We start from the raw sequence: 16139 nt of genomic DNA, 5'->3' as shown, positions 1-16139 counted from the left end.
GATAGAGTTTCGCTCTTGTTGCCCAGGCTGGAGTGCAATGGAGCAATCTCAGCTCACTGAAACCTCCGCCTCCTGGGTTCAAGTGATTCTCCTGCCTCAGCCTCCCAAGTAGGTGGGATTACAGGCATGTGCCACCATGCCCGGCTAATTTTTTATTTTCAATAGAGACAAGGTTTCTCCATGATGGGCAGGCTGGTCTCGAACTCCCGACCTCAGGTGATCTGCCCGCCTTGGCCTCCCAAAGTGCTGGGATTACAGGCATGAGCCACCGCACCCGGCCTTGTATTCTTTTTTTGTTTTTGAGATGGAGTCTCGCCCTTGTTGCCCAGGTTGGAGTGCAGTGGCACGATCTCGGCTCATTGCAATCTCTGCCTCCTGGGTTCAAGCGATTCTCCTGCCTCAGCCTCCCGAGTAGCTGGGACTACTGGCATGTGCCACCAAGCCCGGCTAATTTTGTTTAATTTTTAGCAGAGACAGGGTTTTGCCATGTTGGCCAGGCTGGTCTCAAACTGCTGACCTCAAGTGATCAGCCCACCTTGGCCTCCCAAAGTGCTGGGATTACAGGTGTGTATTCATCTTTTTAAATGTTGTGTAGTAGGACTGTTTTTCAAGATAATTAGCCTGCCATACTGCAGACAAGTCTCCTTGTCTCATATTGATCTTTTTTTCTTATGGGCTTCTTCCCAGCTGAGTCAACTTTACATTCCAGAGAAGAAAGTGAAGGCCATCGATTATGAAACTTCCATTGCTCACTGTAATCTGTGATCAGAAAGGGAGTGGCTCCCTTGTCTGTGGAGTTGAAGAGATTTCCCTTGTTCAAAGTGAGTAATTGTAAATTGCATTCTAGGAGACCAATGTATTGTTCTTAATGGAAGGAGTAAATGCTAATTGGCTCACATGTTTAATTGGTGATTATTGTTTTCAGAAGACAGACATATGTTAGCCATCAGCGCAATCATTTGGAAGAGGTTAAAGCCATTGAGGAATGAAAATCATTGAGGAAAAGAGTTAAAGTCATTGAGCCTGGTTACGGCCACGCTCGGTGGCTCACGCCTGTAATCCCAGCACTTTGGGAGGCCGAGGCGTGTGGATCACCTGAGGTCAGGGGTTTGAGACCCTCCTGGCCAACATGGTGAAACCCCATCTCTACTAAAAATACAAAAATTTGTGGCCGGGCGCGGTGGCTCATGCCTGTAATCCCAACACTTTGGGAGGCCGAGGTGGGCGGATCACCTGAGGTCGGGAGTTTGAGATCAGCCTGACCAACATGGAGAAACTCCATCTCTACTAAAAATACAAAAAAAAAAAAAAAAAAAAGAGCTGGGCGTGGTGGCACATGCCTGTAATCCCAGCTACTAAGGGGGCCTGAGGCAGGAGAGTTGTTTGAACCGGGGAGGTGGAGACTGCAGTGAGCTGAGATCACGCCACTGCACTCCAGCCTGGGCGACAGACCACGACTCCATCTCAAAACAAACAAAAAACAAAGTGAATAAATTGTATAGTTGCTCTCTAGGAGACAATTGCATTGTTCTTCATGGAAGGAGTTAATGCTAATTGGCTCACATGTCTAATTGGTGATTATTGTTTTCAGAAGATGGACATCAGGGCAAACATTTGGAAAAGAGCTTGTGGATTTAGGGTGGTGCAATACTGCCATCTTCAGGGCATATTTTGAAATAAAAAAAGAACGGCACTCTAGATGTGTCAGCCGTGGGAAAAACGGATGAAAGTATTAGAAACTCCTCATTGAAAGAGGCCAGGGAGGCTAGGCACGGTGGCTCATGCCTATAATCCCAGCACTTTGGGAGGGTGAGGCAGGTGGATCACCTGAGGTCACGAGTTCGAGACCATCCTGGCCAACATGTTGAAACCCTGTCTCTACTAAAAAATACAAAAATTAGCCAGGCATGGTGGCGCTTGCCTGTAACCCCAGCTACTTGGAAGGCTGAGGCAGGAGAATCGCTTGAATCCAGGAGGTGGAGGTTGCAGTGAGCTGAGATGGCGCCACTGCACTCCAGCCTAGACAACAAGAGAGAAACTCTGTCTCAAATTAAAAAAAAAAAAAGTTCAGGGAGACCACAAAATCAAGATAAGGATGTTCTTTTTTATCTTGATTTGGTTCTCTCATTGTCTCTTTCGCTCATAGCGCGATGGTTAAGGGTACTGATTCTGCAGTGAGACTATCCCATTTAAATCCCTTACCAGCTGCGTAACCTTAGGTAAGTTACTTAACCCCTCTGTGCCTTCGTGTTTCAGTTTCCTCATTCGTAAAACAGTGTTATCATGCAAGTCCTCCAAAAAGCAAACACCAAAACAGAATTCCAATGTGAGGATAAACAGGTGAGGGGCCAGGTCTCAGCGCAGTTCAGAGAAACTGTCTGTCAGGCCGATGGGGTGTCCCTATGCAAATATCACCAATGAGCATTCACTGGGGGCAGAGAACATGCAGCTGTTGCCGATGGAGCAGCCCTCGCAGGGGACGGTGGCAGGGCCGGAGCAACAGGACCGGGAGGGCAGGAGGACCTGAAACCACCGGAGAAGTTCATCTTACTCATCAATATAGAGCTGATTTATCAAGGCAGGAGAATTGGAATAGAGAAAGAATTCAAAACATGCACATTGGCCGGGCACAGTGGCTCACGCCTGTAATCCCAGAACTTTGGGAGGCCGAGGCGGGCGGATCATGAGGTCAGGAGATCGAGACCATCCTGGCTAACACGGCGAAACCCTGTCTCTACTAAAAATACAAAAAATTAGCCGGGCTTGGTGGTGGGCGCCTGTAATCCCAGCTACTCGGGAGGCTGAGGCAGGAGAATGTCATGAAGCCGGGAGGCGGAGCTGGCAGTGAGCCGAGATTGCACCACTGCACTCCAGCCTGGGCGACAGAGCGAGACTCCGTCTCAGAAAATACAAACAAACAAACAAAATGCACGGCCGGCTAAATGGGGAACCTGAAAATTTGGAGGCTAGGGTTTTTTAAAGATAGTTTCGTGGGCAGGGAGGCAGGGAACAGGTGCTGTTAATTGGTCCAGGATGCGTGGAAATAAACAGTCCTTGTGTGCTGAGTTTGTTTCTGGGTGGGGGCCACAGGAATCATCCGGTCGTCAGAAATGCAAAAGTCTTTATTTATTTATTTATTTATTTATTTATTTATTTATTTATTTAGACAGAGTCTCTGTTGGGAAAAGGGCTTGTGGGGTGCCTGTATAAACTGGCCATAAAAATATGGGACAATAAGTTGTGGAAAGCCACAAAAGGCTTCTGAGGAGGAAAGCCTCCTAATTGCCATCATGTTCACATGCTCAGAGCGAGACCTGCTCTCTTATCTGTAAACACTGTGTTCAAGGAGAAAGACACTCCTTTGAAACACTGGAATGTGGACAGACGTGCAGGCTCCTAGTAAAGCCTGCTCCCACTAGCTACTCTCCGATAAGTTAAAGATATGTTGTTTGAGCACAACGGAGAATCATTTAAACCACTATTGCTATAGATTACGCGTATGACGCACTGCCTCCCTTTCACTGTTTTGCCCTGAACATCTGCTTCTCAGATCTAAGTGATTGTACTCAATAGTGTGGAGACCAGAGCTCTGAGCCTTTTGCCGCCTCCTACCTCGCATCTGGCCCCCCTGGCTCCCCACCTTTAACTTGTCTCTTCTCAATCCTTTGACGCCACCGGACTTAGAGTACCCTACGGGTGGTGTTGAGGCTGGTCCCCAACAGTCTCTTGCTCTGTTGCCCAGGCTGAAGTGCAGTGGCGCAGTCTTGGCTCACTGCAACCTCCGCCTCCCAGGTTTAAGCGATTCTCGTGCCTCAGCCTCCTGAGTAGCTGGGATTACAGGCATGCATCACCATGCCTGGCTAATTTTGTATTTTTAGTAGAGATGGGGTTTCACCATGTTGGCCAGGCTAGTCTCAAACTCCTGACCTCAGGTGATCCACCCGCCTCGGCCTCCCAAAGTGGTGGGATTACAGGCATGAACCACTGTGCCTGGCCCAAAAGTCTTAAATGACATCTCAAAAGGCCAATCTTAGCTTCTACAATAGTGATGTTATTTACAGGAGTAATTGGAAGGGTTACAAATCTTGTGATCACCTGAGCAAGGGCTGGTAATCCTTAACGAAGTCTACATCTGAGCAGAATTCAGGCCCTGCTCTAATCATAACTTGGTGATCTCTTATTTTTATAAGGCGGTTTAGTTTTAGGAAAGGCTATTGTTATTTAAACTGTAACTAAATTTCTCCCAAGGTTAGCTTGGCCCACACCTAGGAATGACCGAGGAGAGTTTGGAGGTTAAAGGCGAGATGGAGTGGGTCAGGTGTCTTTCACTGTCATAATTTTCTCACTGTTATTAATTTTTGCAGAGGCAGTTTGAGGCCCTGCAGATGACTCTGGCCATGTTGACAGCTTCGGGCTCAACCATCCACGGCCCCTTCCCCACTGCAGTCCCCTGACCTCCCTTCCCCTGCTCCCAAGAAGATGGGTCCCGGCTCAACCTCAGCGCTTTTCGCCCGCTTAGCTCCTCCCACCCGGCACTGGCTCCTCCCACTTGGCATCAGCTCCTTCGACCGGGGCTTCGACTTCTCCCACCCGACCTCGGCTCCTCCCACGCAGCCTCGGTTACCCTCTCCGCCACCCGCTGGACCTCGGCTTCCAGGGCCCTGCCTCGGTTCGCCCGCCCTCAACCCCGCACTTGCTCTCGGCTTCCGCTCTTTCTGCCCAGCTCGACTCTCCCGCCCGCCCTCACCCCAGGTGCTACCCTCCCTTCGCCCTCTCTGCCCCGCGACCTCCCGCGCTTGGCGCCAGTGCCACCGCTTTTCGGTCCAGCTCGGATCCTCCCGCCCGGCCTCGGCTCTTCCGCCGAGCCTCGGCTTCCCCCGCCCAGCTTCGGCTTCCTTCGCGCCTGGCTTCGGCTCTTTCCGCCCAGCTTCGGCTTCCCCATCCGTCCTCGCCTGGCGTCCTACCATGGCGCTGCCTGTCCCTCTCTGTCTCCGACCTGAAACTTCCCCTCCCTCCGTCCTGGCCATGGCTCGGCTTCTCCGCCGCCCTTCCCGCTGCTTTTCGGCCCTGCTCGGCTCCTCCCGCCTGGCCTCGGCTCCTCCCATTGGCCTTGGCTTTTCCGGTTCCTCTCGGCCGACCTCGGCTCCCACCACCCGTCTTTGGCTCCCCTCGCCCAGCCTTGGCTTCTCCGCCGCTCCTCGGCTCAGTTCGTTCAGTTCGGCTTTCTCCGCCCGGCTTCAGTTTTCTCCGATTTCGCCGCTTCAGTTCGGCTCTTTCCGCGTCTCCCCATGGCACCCTGGGCTCGGCGTGGCTCTGGGTCTGGTTGGGTCCTTGTCTTAGTCCGGGGGAGTTGCACTAATTGAGTTCCCGTCATTATGATATGGAGGTGCCAGTGTCTCCACATCCTGGTCAATCTGTTATCTTTTTAAAAGAAAAAAATTCCTGATCAATGAAAAAGGGAATCTCAATGTATTACTTCCCATTTTTCTTAGGAGAGCCACTTGTATTTCTGTGAACTGTTGTTAGCATTTGCTCCTTTCTCTAATTAACTCTTGGTCTTTCTCTTACTGCTTCGTAGGAGTTCTTGAATACTAACAAATTATTATGAGCAATGTTCAAGCATGGAAATAATTTTTGAAAAAATGTACAGGAACATTCATCAGTAACATTTTACTATACTTTGTCATATACATCTCTGTATCATCCATCAATTCATCTTTTTAAATGCATTTTGAAGTAGGTTGCAGATAGCTTACATATCATTAATTAGAGTTCAAAATTTGGGGCTGGAAGATCTAAGGTGGCTCATCCCCTGGCTAGCAATGTGGTGCTGGTGAGTTGGTTACTGGTTACGGGGCTGCTTGAGTCTCCTCATGGCATGGCGGATGGCTTCTCCTAGAGAAAGAGCAATAGAAGAGACCAAGGAGGAAGCTTCAGTGTGTCTTATGACCTAGCCTCAGATGTCACATGCAACAGTGCTGTATTGATCATATGGGTCGTGTATGATTCAATATTGGAGGTGGGGTACACAGGACAGGAATATCAGGTGGCAAGGGTCTTTGGTGAGCATTCTGAAGGCTAGTCAACACACCCACCTTTCCTTCAGACCACCTCTTTTCATCAGCCCGGAATCTCTTTTTTTGTGCTGGAGTGCCTGATCTGATTGTAGCTGTTTGAGGCATCTGGAATTCATGGCCGGGTTTAGAACAACTTGGAAGGTCTCCTTTCCCCCTCTTCTCTTTCTTTTACCCTTCTCCCCTCTCTCTTCCTCTCAGCCTTACCCCCAACTCTAGTCTTTCTTTGCTTCTAGTGAGCGAGCAGGAGATGCTCTGAGAGTCAACTGGGAATGCAGCTGATAAGGGTCTGCTGGGTGCAGGAAATGTTGGAAGGTTTGCTTGCTGGGCTGTATCACCTCCTGTATTATGGGAGCTTAGAGTATTTGCCAGCTTGTCAGGACTACCATCGTCTTCCATGTTCTGAGACTGGAGTACCCAACATTCCCCTAGCAGGGGACACTTGGCTTGATAGGGCTCTATCAATCTATATTGTGAGGGTAGAGATACTCATATTGCAAGGGGAGGCTGCAGGAGTTGCCTGCTGGGGCTAAGATTATTCCTTGTGTTTGGGATAAAGGAGGGGTCACCGCAGGGGCAGTCAACTCATGTTGGGGGAGACGGGATTTGCATTCTGGGCTCCCCTCCTCGTTTATGTTAAGGGTGTTGCTTGCTGATGCTTCTATTAACTCTTACTTTGGGATAATGGGAAGAGAGATAGTTTTCTGGGGTATGAGTTTGTCACTTATGTTGTAGAATCTGGGGGGCTGCCTGTTGAGATTCTGACCATTGCTTGTTTTGGGTGTCATTGCTGGGGATACTTATTTATAGTCTTGGGAAGACAAGGGATGCATGTTGCAGCGGTAGTGGGTAAGAATGGTGGCATTTGCTGGAGTTCTTTTTTTTTTTTTTTTTTTTTTTGAGACAGAATCTTGCTCTGTCTCCCAGGCTTGAGCGCAGTGGTGTGATCTTGGCTCACTGCAAACTCTGCCTCCCGGGTTCAAGAGATTCTCCTGCCTCAGTCTCCTGAGTAGCTAGGACTACAGGCACGTGTCACCACGCCCGGCTAATTTTTGTATTTTTAGTAGAGACGGTTTCACCATATTGGTCAGGCTGGTCTCGAACTCCTGATCTCGTGATCCACCCGCCTTGGCCTCCCAAAGTGCTGGGATTACAGGCGTGAGCCACCATACCCAGCCTGGAGTTCCTTTCTTGAGTGTGTAGAGGATTGAGGGTTGATTGGTTTTTGGAGTTTCCATCATTAATGTAGGAGCGATACGGGGAATCACTTGGCGAAGCTTTCATTGTCTCTGATGTTGGAGGTAACTGGAGGGCCAGTGCCTGGGGCTTCCATTTTTTTCTAGTGTTGAAGGGTCAAGAGCATTTATCAGATAGAGGCCTTACTGTGTATTGTTTGGGGAGAGGATGGAGGGATTATTGGATGGGGTTCCACTTATCTCTAGTTGGGGAGGGTCATATTCTGGGTCTCCGCTTGCCTGTACTGTTGGTATAGACTGGGTAGGCCATTGGGCTTGGAGTCCCCATTCTTTAGTGTTGAGGGGCATCTGAAGGGGTCATTTCAGGGACTTCTGTTATAGTTTTGGACGTGACTGAGGGGTGCTTGCTGGAGTAGTTTCGCGATGACGGAGGTCTTCATGTTTGGACTCCATCTTTTGTGTTTGTAAGTGATTGAGGGGTGGAGATCTGGCATCCTGTTGCCTCTTGTTTTGAGGGTGACTGGTGGTTACCTGCTAGGGCTTCTGTCAGCTCTACTGCTGTATGCAGATTGTGAGAATCACTTGCTGGGGCTTCCATAATCTCTAGTCTTAGGGGGACTGGGAAATGGCTTGCCATGCTTTCTATTATCTCTAGTTTTAAGGGACCAGTTCAATGTGATTTAAAACTCTTTTTATTTGAAAAAAAAAAAAAATTAGGGCTGGGCACGTTGGCTCACGCCTATAATCCTAACACTTTTGGGAGGCCAAGGCAGATGGATCACTTGAGGTCAGGAGTTTGAGACCAGCCTGGTCACCATGGCGAAACCCCATCTCTACTAAAAATACAAAAATTAGCTGGGCGTGGTGGTGCACACCTGTAGTTGCAGCTACTTGGAGGCTGAGGCAAGAGAATTGCTTGAACCCAGGAGGCGGAAGTTGCAGTGAGGTGAGTGTGGGCAACAGAGTGAGACTCCGTCTGAAAAAAAAAAAAAGATTTAGACGTATAAAAGTGTTAAAACTATACAGGCTTGATTTATACAGTCAATATTTATTTGTATTTGCTCACATTTTATCTTTCCTGATTATCCTTATATATTTCTGGAATTGCTTCCACATGGAATAATTTTCCTCCAGCCCCAAAACTTTCCTTCTTTCTTTCCTTCTCCTTCCTTCCTTCCTTCCTTCCCTCCCTCCCTCCTTCCTTCTTTTTTTTTTTTGAGACAGAGTCTCGCTCCATCGCCCAGGCTGGAAAGCAACGGTGCGATCTCAGCTCACTGCAACCTCCACCTCCTGGGTTCAAGCAATTCTCCTGCCTCAGCCTCCCAAGTAGCTGGGATTATAGGCGACCGCCACTACGCCCAGCTAATTTTTTTTTTTTTTTGTAGTTTTAGCAGAGATGGGGTTTTGCCATGTTGGCCAGCCTTGTCTCGAACTCCTGACCTCAGGTGATCCACCTGCCTCAGCCTCCCAAAATGCTGGGATTACAGGTGTGAGCCACCGTGTCTGGCCCAAAACTTTCTTTAGTGTTTCTTGAAGTGCAGTTCTGCTGGTGATGAACTATGTTGTTGCTGAAACACCAGGGGTTCAATCTAGGTCCTGCTGCTCACCACTGCACAGAAAGCCTATCGCTGAGACAATGAGTATTGCCAAGGAAGAAGGCTTTAATCAGCTGCTGCAGCTGAGGAGGTGGGAGAACAATCTCAAATCCATCTCCCTGACCAACTAAAATTTGAGGTTTATATAGCAGGGAAGAAATGTTACCATGTGTGGGAATACAGGAATTAGGGAAGGGTAAGGAAGAGGAGTTGGTCAACAGGAAGCAGGTGGTCAGTTAGGCAATCATGATGGGTGATGGGTCTGATGTCTCACTGTACAAATGCAGTATTCTGGTGCGTTTCAGCTCCTAGATACTATCTGGGAGGCCTGATGGTTGGTTTCCTGAGAAAGGAACTCAGATAAGATAAATGTAACTTTCTTAAGTTTTAAGATTGGGAAGATCAATTTGTTTGTTTATTCAAGGAAACCATAAACATCAGCAATATGGGAAAATTGGGCCAGTTTCACTTTCAGGTATTTAAAAGAAAAATCTATTGGATTTTGGATATCAATTCTTGTCCTTCACTTGGCGCTAAGTTCATGTCCCTACATAAGATACAAAGGGGGCCGGGCGCGGTGGCTCCCGCCTGTAATCCTAGCACTTTGGGAGGCCGAGGTGGGCGGATCACAAGGTCAAGAATTCAAGACCAGCCTGGCCAACATAGTGAAACCCCATCTCTACTAAAAATACAAAAATTAGCCGGGTGTGCTGGCGTGTGCCTGTAGTCCCAGCTACTCGGGAGGCTGAAGCAGGAGAGTCGCTTGAATCCAGGAGGCGGAGGTTGTAGTGAGCAGAGATGGCACCATTGCACTCCAGCCTGTGTGACAGAGTGAGACTCCATCTCAAAAAAAAAAAAAAAAAAAAAGAGATACAAAGGAAGCTACTGTTGGGATAATGTCATTTGGTCGTATTCCCATCAGAAACCTTAAGCTTTGGCCACAACCAGGACTCTTCATATAAAATGGTGATGGTGGTGGTGGGGAACCAGGGAAAAAGCGGAAAAAATTAAAGATTTTTTAAAAAACCCAAACCCAAAGCATAGCTGTCTTCTATTCCTGCTTTGGGACCTGGTCTTCAGGACTGAATTTAATTCTTCCACATCCATTCCACATTCTGCTTTCTCTCTGCCAGTCCCTTATCTGAATGGATTTTTATTTTTATTTTTTTTTGGGATGGAGTCTCACTCTGTCGCCCAGGCTGGAGTGCAGCGGCGCGATCTCGGCTCACTGAAAGCTCTGCCTCCCGGGTTCACGCCATTCTCCTGCCTCAGCCTCCTGAGTAGCTGGGACTACAGGCGCCCGCCACCACGCCCGGCTAATTTTTTGTATTTTTAGTACAGACAGGGTTTCACTGTGTTAGCCAGGATGGTCTCGATCTCCTGAGACCGGCCCTGAATGGATTCTTTACCCTGATAGAGTGATCTTATCTCGGATCAGGTTTTCTGGGAACAGATTTTGTGCTGGCAATTTTTTGTTTATTGGATAAAACTCCTGGGAACAACATCTTTAAAGGCATGCGAGAAGCGGAGGGGACAGATGAGGCTGACATGTAACTTGTCAACTGAGGCTGCCGTCGATCCCACAGGGAGTTCTGGTGCTGGGGTTGCCCTTCAGGGGTGTCCTACATTGAAACAAAGGCACTGGACCTTTGTACCCCCTACATCAACCAGTCACTGGAAGTAGGCAACCCCTGGAGAGAGAGCATAATCTTGGGTTGGGCACTTTCCTCTGGGCCTTGGGGAGTTCCCAGAGAGGACAGCAGCATCACCATCATCAGGCAACACCTCCAGCAGCTAGGGGAGTGCCTTAGTCTTTTCTTTTTTCTAGATGGAGTCTTGCTTTGTCACCAGGCTGGCGTGCAGTGGCAAGATCTTGGCTCACTGCAACCTCCGCCTCCCAGGTTCAAGCGATTCTCCAGCCTCAGCCTCCTGAGTAGCTGGGACTACAGGCACACGCCACCACGCCCAGCTAATTTTTTTTTTTTTTTTTGAGATGGAGTCTTTGTCGCCCAGGCTGGAGTGCAGTGGCGCCATCTCGGCTCACTGCAAGCTCCGCCTTCCAGGTTCACGCCACTCTCCTGCCTCAGCCTCTCGAGTAGCTGGGACTACAGGTGCCCGCCACCATGCCTGGCTAATTTTTTGTATTTTTAGTAGAGATGGGGTTTCACCGTGTTAGCCAGGATGGTCTCTATCTCCTGACCTCGTGATCCGCCGGCCTTGGCCTCCCAAAGTGCTGGGATTACAGGTACGCCCAGCTAATTTTTGTAGTTTTAGTAGAGACGGGGTTGCACCATGTTGGCCAGGATGGTCTTGATCTCTTGACCTCGTGATCCACCTGCCTCAGCCTCCCAAAGTGTTGGGATTACAGGCGTGAGTCACCACGCCTGGCCTTAGTGCCTTAGTCTTAAAGGAAGAATCTGGGAAATATGCCACTGAAACCATGCCTAAAGTGTTAAAGCAAAGACTAGCAGAAATTCTTGATGTGTTGGAAGCTGGTTCCTTCTGGTGGGTTCGTGGTCTCGCTGACTTCAAGAAAGAAGCCACAGACCTTCACTCTTAAAGATGGCACAGACCCAAAGAGTGAGCGGTAGCAAGGATTACTGTGAAGAGCAAAAGAACAAAGCTTCCACAGCTTGGAAGGGGACCCGAGCTGGTTGCCGCTGCTGGCTGGAGTGGCCAGCGTTTATTCCCTTATTGACCCCTCCCATGTTCTGTTTCTGTCCTATCAGAGTGCCCTTTTTTCAATCCTCCCTGCAATTGGCTGCTTTCAGGATCTTGCTGATTGGTGTGTTTTACAGACTGTTGATTGGTGCATTTTACAATCTTCTTGCTAGCTACAGAGCGCTCACTGGTGCGGTTTACAATCCTAGCTACAGAGTGCTGATTGGTGTGTTTTACAATCCTCTTGTAAAACAGGAAAGTTCTCCAAGTCCCCACTCGACCCAGGAAGTCCAGCTGGCTTCACCTCTCATTGAGTTTGCAGGATGGCAGGTAAAAAAAGAAATAACTTGCTAAAACGCTGAAACTGCCTCCACTTGTAACAAAACTGCCTAAAATCTGTGAGAACCCACATGGCCAAATGGAGTTTGTGCAGAATGAGCTTGCTGATGTCACAGTGCAAATTTCCACGTGTTTCATACAAACTCCCTTGAGTTAGTATGACTTTGCACATGGAACCCATGGGGAGGCATGAAGAGATCATTGCACCTGCCTGAGGACTTAACAGACCTTTCCTCCCACCAATCGCCTGCTAATCCCAGAATCCACGCCCTACACCTTTTCTAAGAAAATTATTGCCTTAAAGTCAGCATAAGACAAATTTGAGCTGGACTCCTGTCTCCTTGTTAACTTGCAATACAAACCTTTCCTTTTCTCAAAAATCTGATGTCATAGTATTGGCTTCTAGCACATTGGGTGAAGAGCTCTTTTGCTGGGTAGTGCCACCACTGTACCTACTGTGGTCCACCATGTGTGCCACTCAGATGCCCTGCATTCATTTTGTTTGTTTTGTTTTTGAGACAGAGTCTCCCTCTGTTGCCCAGGCTGGAGTGCAGTGGTACCATCTTGGCTCACTGCAACCTCTGCCTCCTGAGTTCAAGTGATTCTCCTGCCTCAGCCTCTGGAGTAGCTGGGACTATAGGCATGTGCCACCATACTCAGCTATTTTTTGTATTTTTAGTAGAAATGAGGTTTCACCATGTTGGCTAAGCTGGTCTCGAACTCCTAACCTCAAGTGATCTGCCCGCCTCTGCCTCCCAAAGTGTTGGGATTACAGGCGTGAGCCACTGTGCCCGGCCCCAGGATTCTTAAAGTAAGTGCCCTCAGGATCCAGGTTGGTCCCGTTGCCTGGAGAAACTGACAAGAGGAAGATCAGTGGGACAAACTGTAGACAGCCCTTTCCACCTGAACAAGTCTCAGAGATGCAATTGATGCTTATCACACTCCTTTACTTGCACCTTCCAGATTCCCTTTACCCTTGACTAGGGTGAAAATTCTAGATTTCCTTCTCACCTAGATCCTGCTGGTCTAGGTGGCTTACCTGGAGAGCTGCTCCAGATCCTTATGCCTACGGGGTCTTCACCATGCCCTTCTCAGGACATAGCTGGTGAAATTTTTTTATCTTTTTCTTTTTTGGAGACAGAGTCTCGCTCTGTTGCCCAGGCTGGAGTGCAGTGGCGCGATCTCGGCTCACTGCAAGCTCCGCCTCCTGGGTTCACGCCATTCTCCTGCGTCAGCCTCCCAAGTAGCTGGGACTACAGGCGCCTGCCAACGCGCCCAGTTAATTTTTTTGTATTTTTTGTAGAGACAGGGTTTCACCATGTTAGCCAGGCTGGTCTCGATCTCCTGACCTTGTGATGTGCCCACCTCGGCCTCCCAAAGTGCTGGGATTACAAGCGTGACCCACCACGCCTGGCCAAAATTTTTTTATCTTTAAAATTGGGGAAAGAATAGTAAGAGACATCCCAATGGATTCCGTGAATGCCAAATGTTTTCCTCCCTGCACTCATCATGTAACAGCAGCCTCAGATTCTATGGATGATAGCATTAATTACCTAAGTCAGTATGGTGACTTCTTTCCTTGTGTGCTGGTCTCATAGAAGTCACAGTTTAACATCCGATGAGACTCTTACTGTGTCTCTTGGTGGAAGTGTTTCCCTCTGGGAACCAAGTCCTTTAGGTTACTTCTCTTTTTTCTTTTTTTTTAGATGAAGTCTTACTCTGTCACCCAGGCTAGAGTGCAGTGGCATGATCTCGGCTCACTGCAATCTCCGCCTCCCGGGTTCAAGAGATTCTCCTGCCTCAGCCTCCTGAGTAGCTGGGATTACAGGCGCCCACCACTGTGCCTGGCTAATTTTGTATTTTTAGTAGAGACGGGGTTTCACCATGTTGGCCAGGCTGGTCTCAAACTCCTGACCTCGTGATCCACCGACCTCGGCCTCCCAAAGTGCTGGGATTACAGGGGTAAGCCACTGCGCCTGGCCAGGTTAATTATTTCTTTTGCTTTCCTCCCCAATGGCTCTGTTCCTCATCCTATACAGGAAACACTGGTGTTGGCAACTATGTTAGGCTTCATCGGGGAGTATCAGTGCATGGACACCACCCCAGGGTAGCTGAGCAACTGATAGAATTCCTGGGCTTGGATATGAACTTTCCATCCAGGTGATGGGCATGAGTAGATTCTGAGAAGCAAAAGGAGTGACCAATACTGGGTATCTTCCATTCGCCCCAGCAGATTCACCTCCTCTACCCTGCTGTACTTGGGATGATTAGTTACTATGAATGCTATCAACGAACTCCCTTACCTTATTGGCTTTTGGTTGAGTTTGGCAAATGGGGAACCCAAATATGATATAAGAAGAATGAAGGACAAGGAGGGCTGGCCCTGGCTATTTCTTTCTCTTTTTTGGTGGTGGTGGGGGGGTGGGGATGGAGTTTCACTCTGTCACCCAGGCTGGAGTGCAATGGCATGATCTTGGCTCATTGCAACCTCCACCTACCGGGTTCAAGCAATTCTCCTGCCTCAGCCTCCTGAATAGCTGGGACTACAGGCGCATGCCACCACACCCGGCTAGTTTTTGTATTTTCAGTAGAGAATGGGTTTCATCATGTTGGCCAGGCTGGTCTTGAACTCCTGATCTCAAGTGATCCACCCACCTCGGCCTCCCAAAGTGCCAGAATTATAGGTGTGAGCCACTGTGCCTGGCCGACCCTTACTATTTCTTGCAGAACTCGAGGCTGGATGTTGCCCCTCACTGACCTCCTGTCAGCTCCTGGAATGCAGCCCTCTCCTCGCTTGAACAACAACTTGCAGTTCTCTTCCTTTGTCCCTTCAGGCTTATGGGTGTCCTACGATCTGCCATTTGTTTGGAAGCTGGAGAACCAAGAAAGCTGGTAGTCTTGCTCCAGTCCAAGCTCAAAGACCTGAAAACAGGGGAGCCAACAGTGTAAACCCCAGTGTGAAGTCCAAAGGCTTGAGAACCAGGAGGGCCAATGGTGTAAGTTGCGAGTCTGAGTCTGAAGGCTGGAGAACCAGAAGCACCCGTATCTGAGGTGGGGAGAAGACCGATGTTCCATTTCAAGTACCTTTTGTGGTTTCCCTACATCCTGTTCACAATTCTGTGAGGAGCCCCTTGATATAAACTGCGCTTGAATCATCCCAGTTGACGTGTGTGTCAACTGTTTCCTGCTGGGACTCTTGATATTCCAACTTCCTGAACATGTAAGGAAAAGCCCTAACAATGACCTATAAAACCCCACAAGATCAGGATCTGCATCTCCGATTACCCTCTAATCCCTGAATCCCTATTTTACCTGAGTCATACTGGCCTCTGTGCTGTGGGTCTTTGCATGCCAACAGTCCTCTTGCCACAAGTTCCTACTCAATAGTCTCTCCTCAAATGCACCTTAACTGGGGGCCTTTTCCTTCCTATGCTACATAAAATGGAAAGTCCCCAGCCCTCCGTAACTCTCTCACAATGCTTTATTTTTCTGCACAACATGAATATTGTTGATTTTTCTTTTTCGATGGAGTCTTGCTCTGTTGCCCAGGCTGGAGTGCAGTGGCGCGATCTCGGCTCATTGCAACCTCCACCTCCCAGGATGAAGCGATTCTCCTGCCTCAGCCTCCTGATTAGCTGAGCGCACCACCACACCCAGCTAATTTTTTTGTATTTTTAGTAGAGATGGCGTTTCACCATGTTGGTCAGGCCGGTCTCAAACTCCTGACCTCATGATCTGCCCCAGCCTCCCAAAGTATTGGAATTACAGGCGTGAGTCACAGCGCCCGGCCATGTTGTTGATTTTTCTATAATTCACCCCTCCCCGTTAGGATGTAAGTGCCTCAATGGCAAAACTTGAGTTTCATTCACTGCTCTAGACATGGCATCTCAAACAGTGCTTAGCCACATGGAATGTACTCAATGAACAGGCTAGTGGTTATGAGAATCACCTGTCTGGATTCCAATCTGTGCTCTACCACTTACTAGCTGGTGAACTCAGGCAAGCAACCTAGACATTTCCATGCCAGTTTTCCCATCTGTAAGTTGGAGACAGTAATAGCACAGTTTGCAAGCTTATAGTGAGGACGCAGTTAATATTTATAAGGCACTTTGAAGAGCGCCTGGTCTATAGGATGGGCTAGCGAAATGTTTGATCTCTTTTTGTTAATATATTTTCATATTACAATTATTTGGTATGAAAAGGTATGGCCCCTACTGAAAATAAATAAATTCACAGGAGAATATCTAAACCTCTACGCACCTAGTTACATTACA

At 48.6% G+C, this 16139-nt stretch overlaps 1 long non-coding RNA gene across 1 annotated transcript, besides 3 other annotated features; it reads left to right on the top strand.

The window, feature by feature from the left end:
• Window positions 652-1151: an enhancer, noted in NCBI's record as "H3K4me1 hESC enhancer chr19:7103011-7103510 (GRCh37/hg19 assembly coordinates)". NCBI's record gives its function as "activates a minimal SCP1, AML or CMV promoter by ChIP-STARR-seq in primed H9 embryonic stem cells {active_cell/tissue: H9 hESC(primed)}" and the evidence as "EXISTENCE:reporter gene assay evidence [ECO:0000049][PMID:30033119]".
• Window positions 1152-1653: an enhancer, noted in NCBI's record as "H3K4me1 hESC enhancer chr19:7102509-7103010 (GRCh37/hg19 assembly coordinates)". NCBI's record gives its function as "activates a minimal SCP1, AML or CMV promoter by ChIP-STARR-seq in primed H9 embryonic stem cells {active_cell/tissue: H9 hESC(primed)}" and the evidence as "EXISTENCE:reporter gene assay evidence [ECO:0000049][PMID:30033119]".
• Window positions 4513-4882: a silencer, noted in NCBI's record as "silent region_9971". NCBI's record gives its function as "represses an Ori minimal core promoter by ATAC-STARR-seq in GM12878 lymphoblastoid cells {active_cell/tissue: GM12878}" and the evidence as "EXISTENCE:reporter gene assay evidence [ECO:0000049][PMID:35858748]".
• On the top strand, window positions 4589-16108 carry LOC124904625 (uncharacterized). The gene is made up of 3 exons (XR_007067110.1): window positions 4589-4669; window positions 11700-11856; window positions 14700-16108. It is a non-coding gene; the product is annotated as an uncharacterized LOC124904625 (long non-coding RNA).
• The last annotated feature ends 31 nt before the right edge of the window (window positions 16109-16139 follow it).

Source organism: Homo sapiens, chromosome 19, assembly GCF_000001405.40.
Source record: "Homo sapiens chromosome 19, GRCh38.p14 Primary Assembly".
NCBI lineage: Eukaryota > Metazoa > Chordata > Mammalia > Primates > Hominidae > Homo > Homo sapiens.
This window is presented reverse-complemented; position numbering and strand designations above follow the sequence as displayed.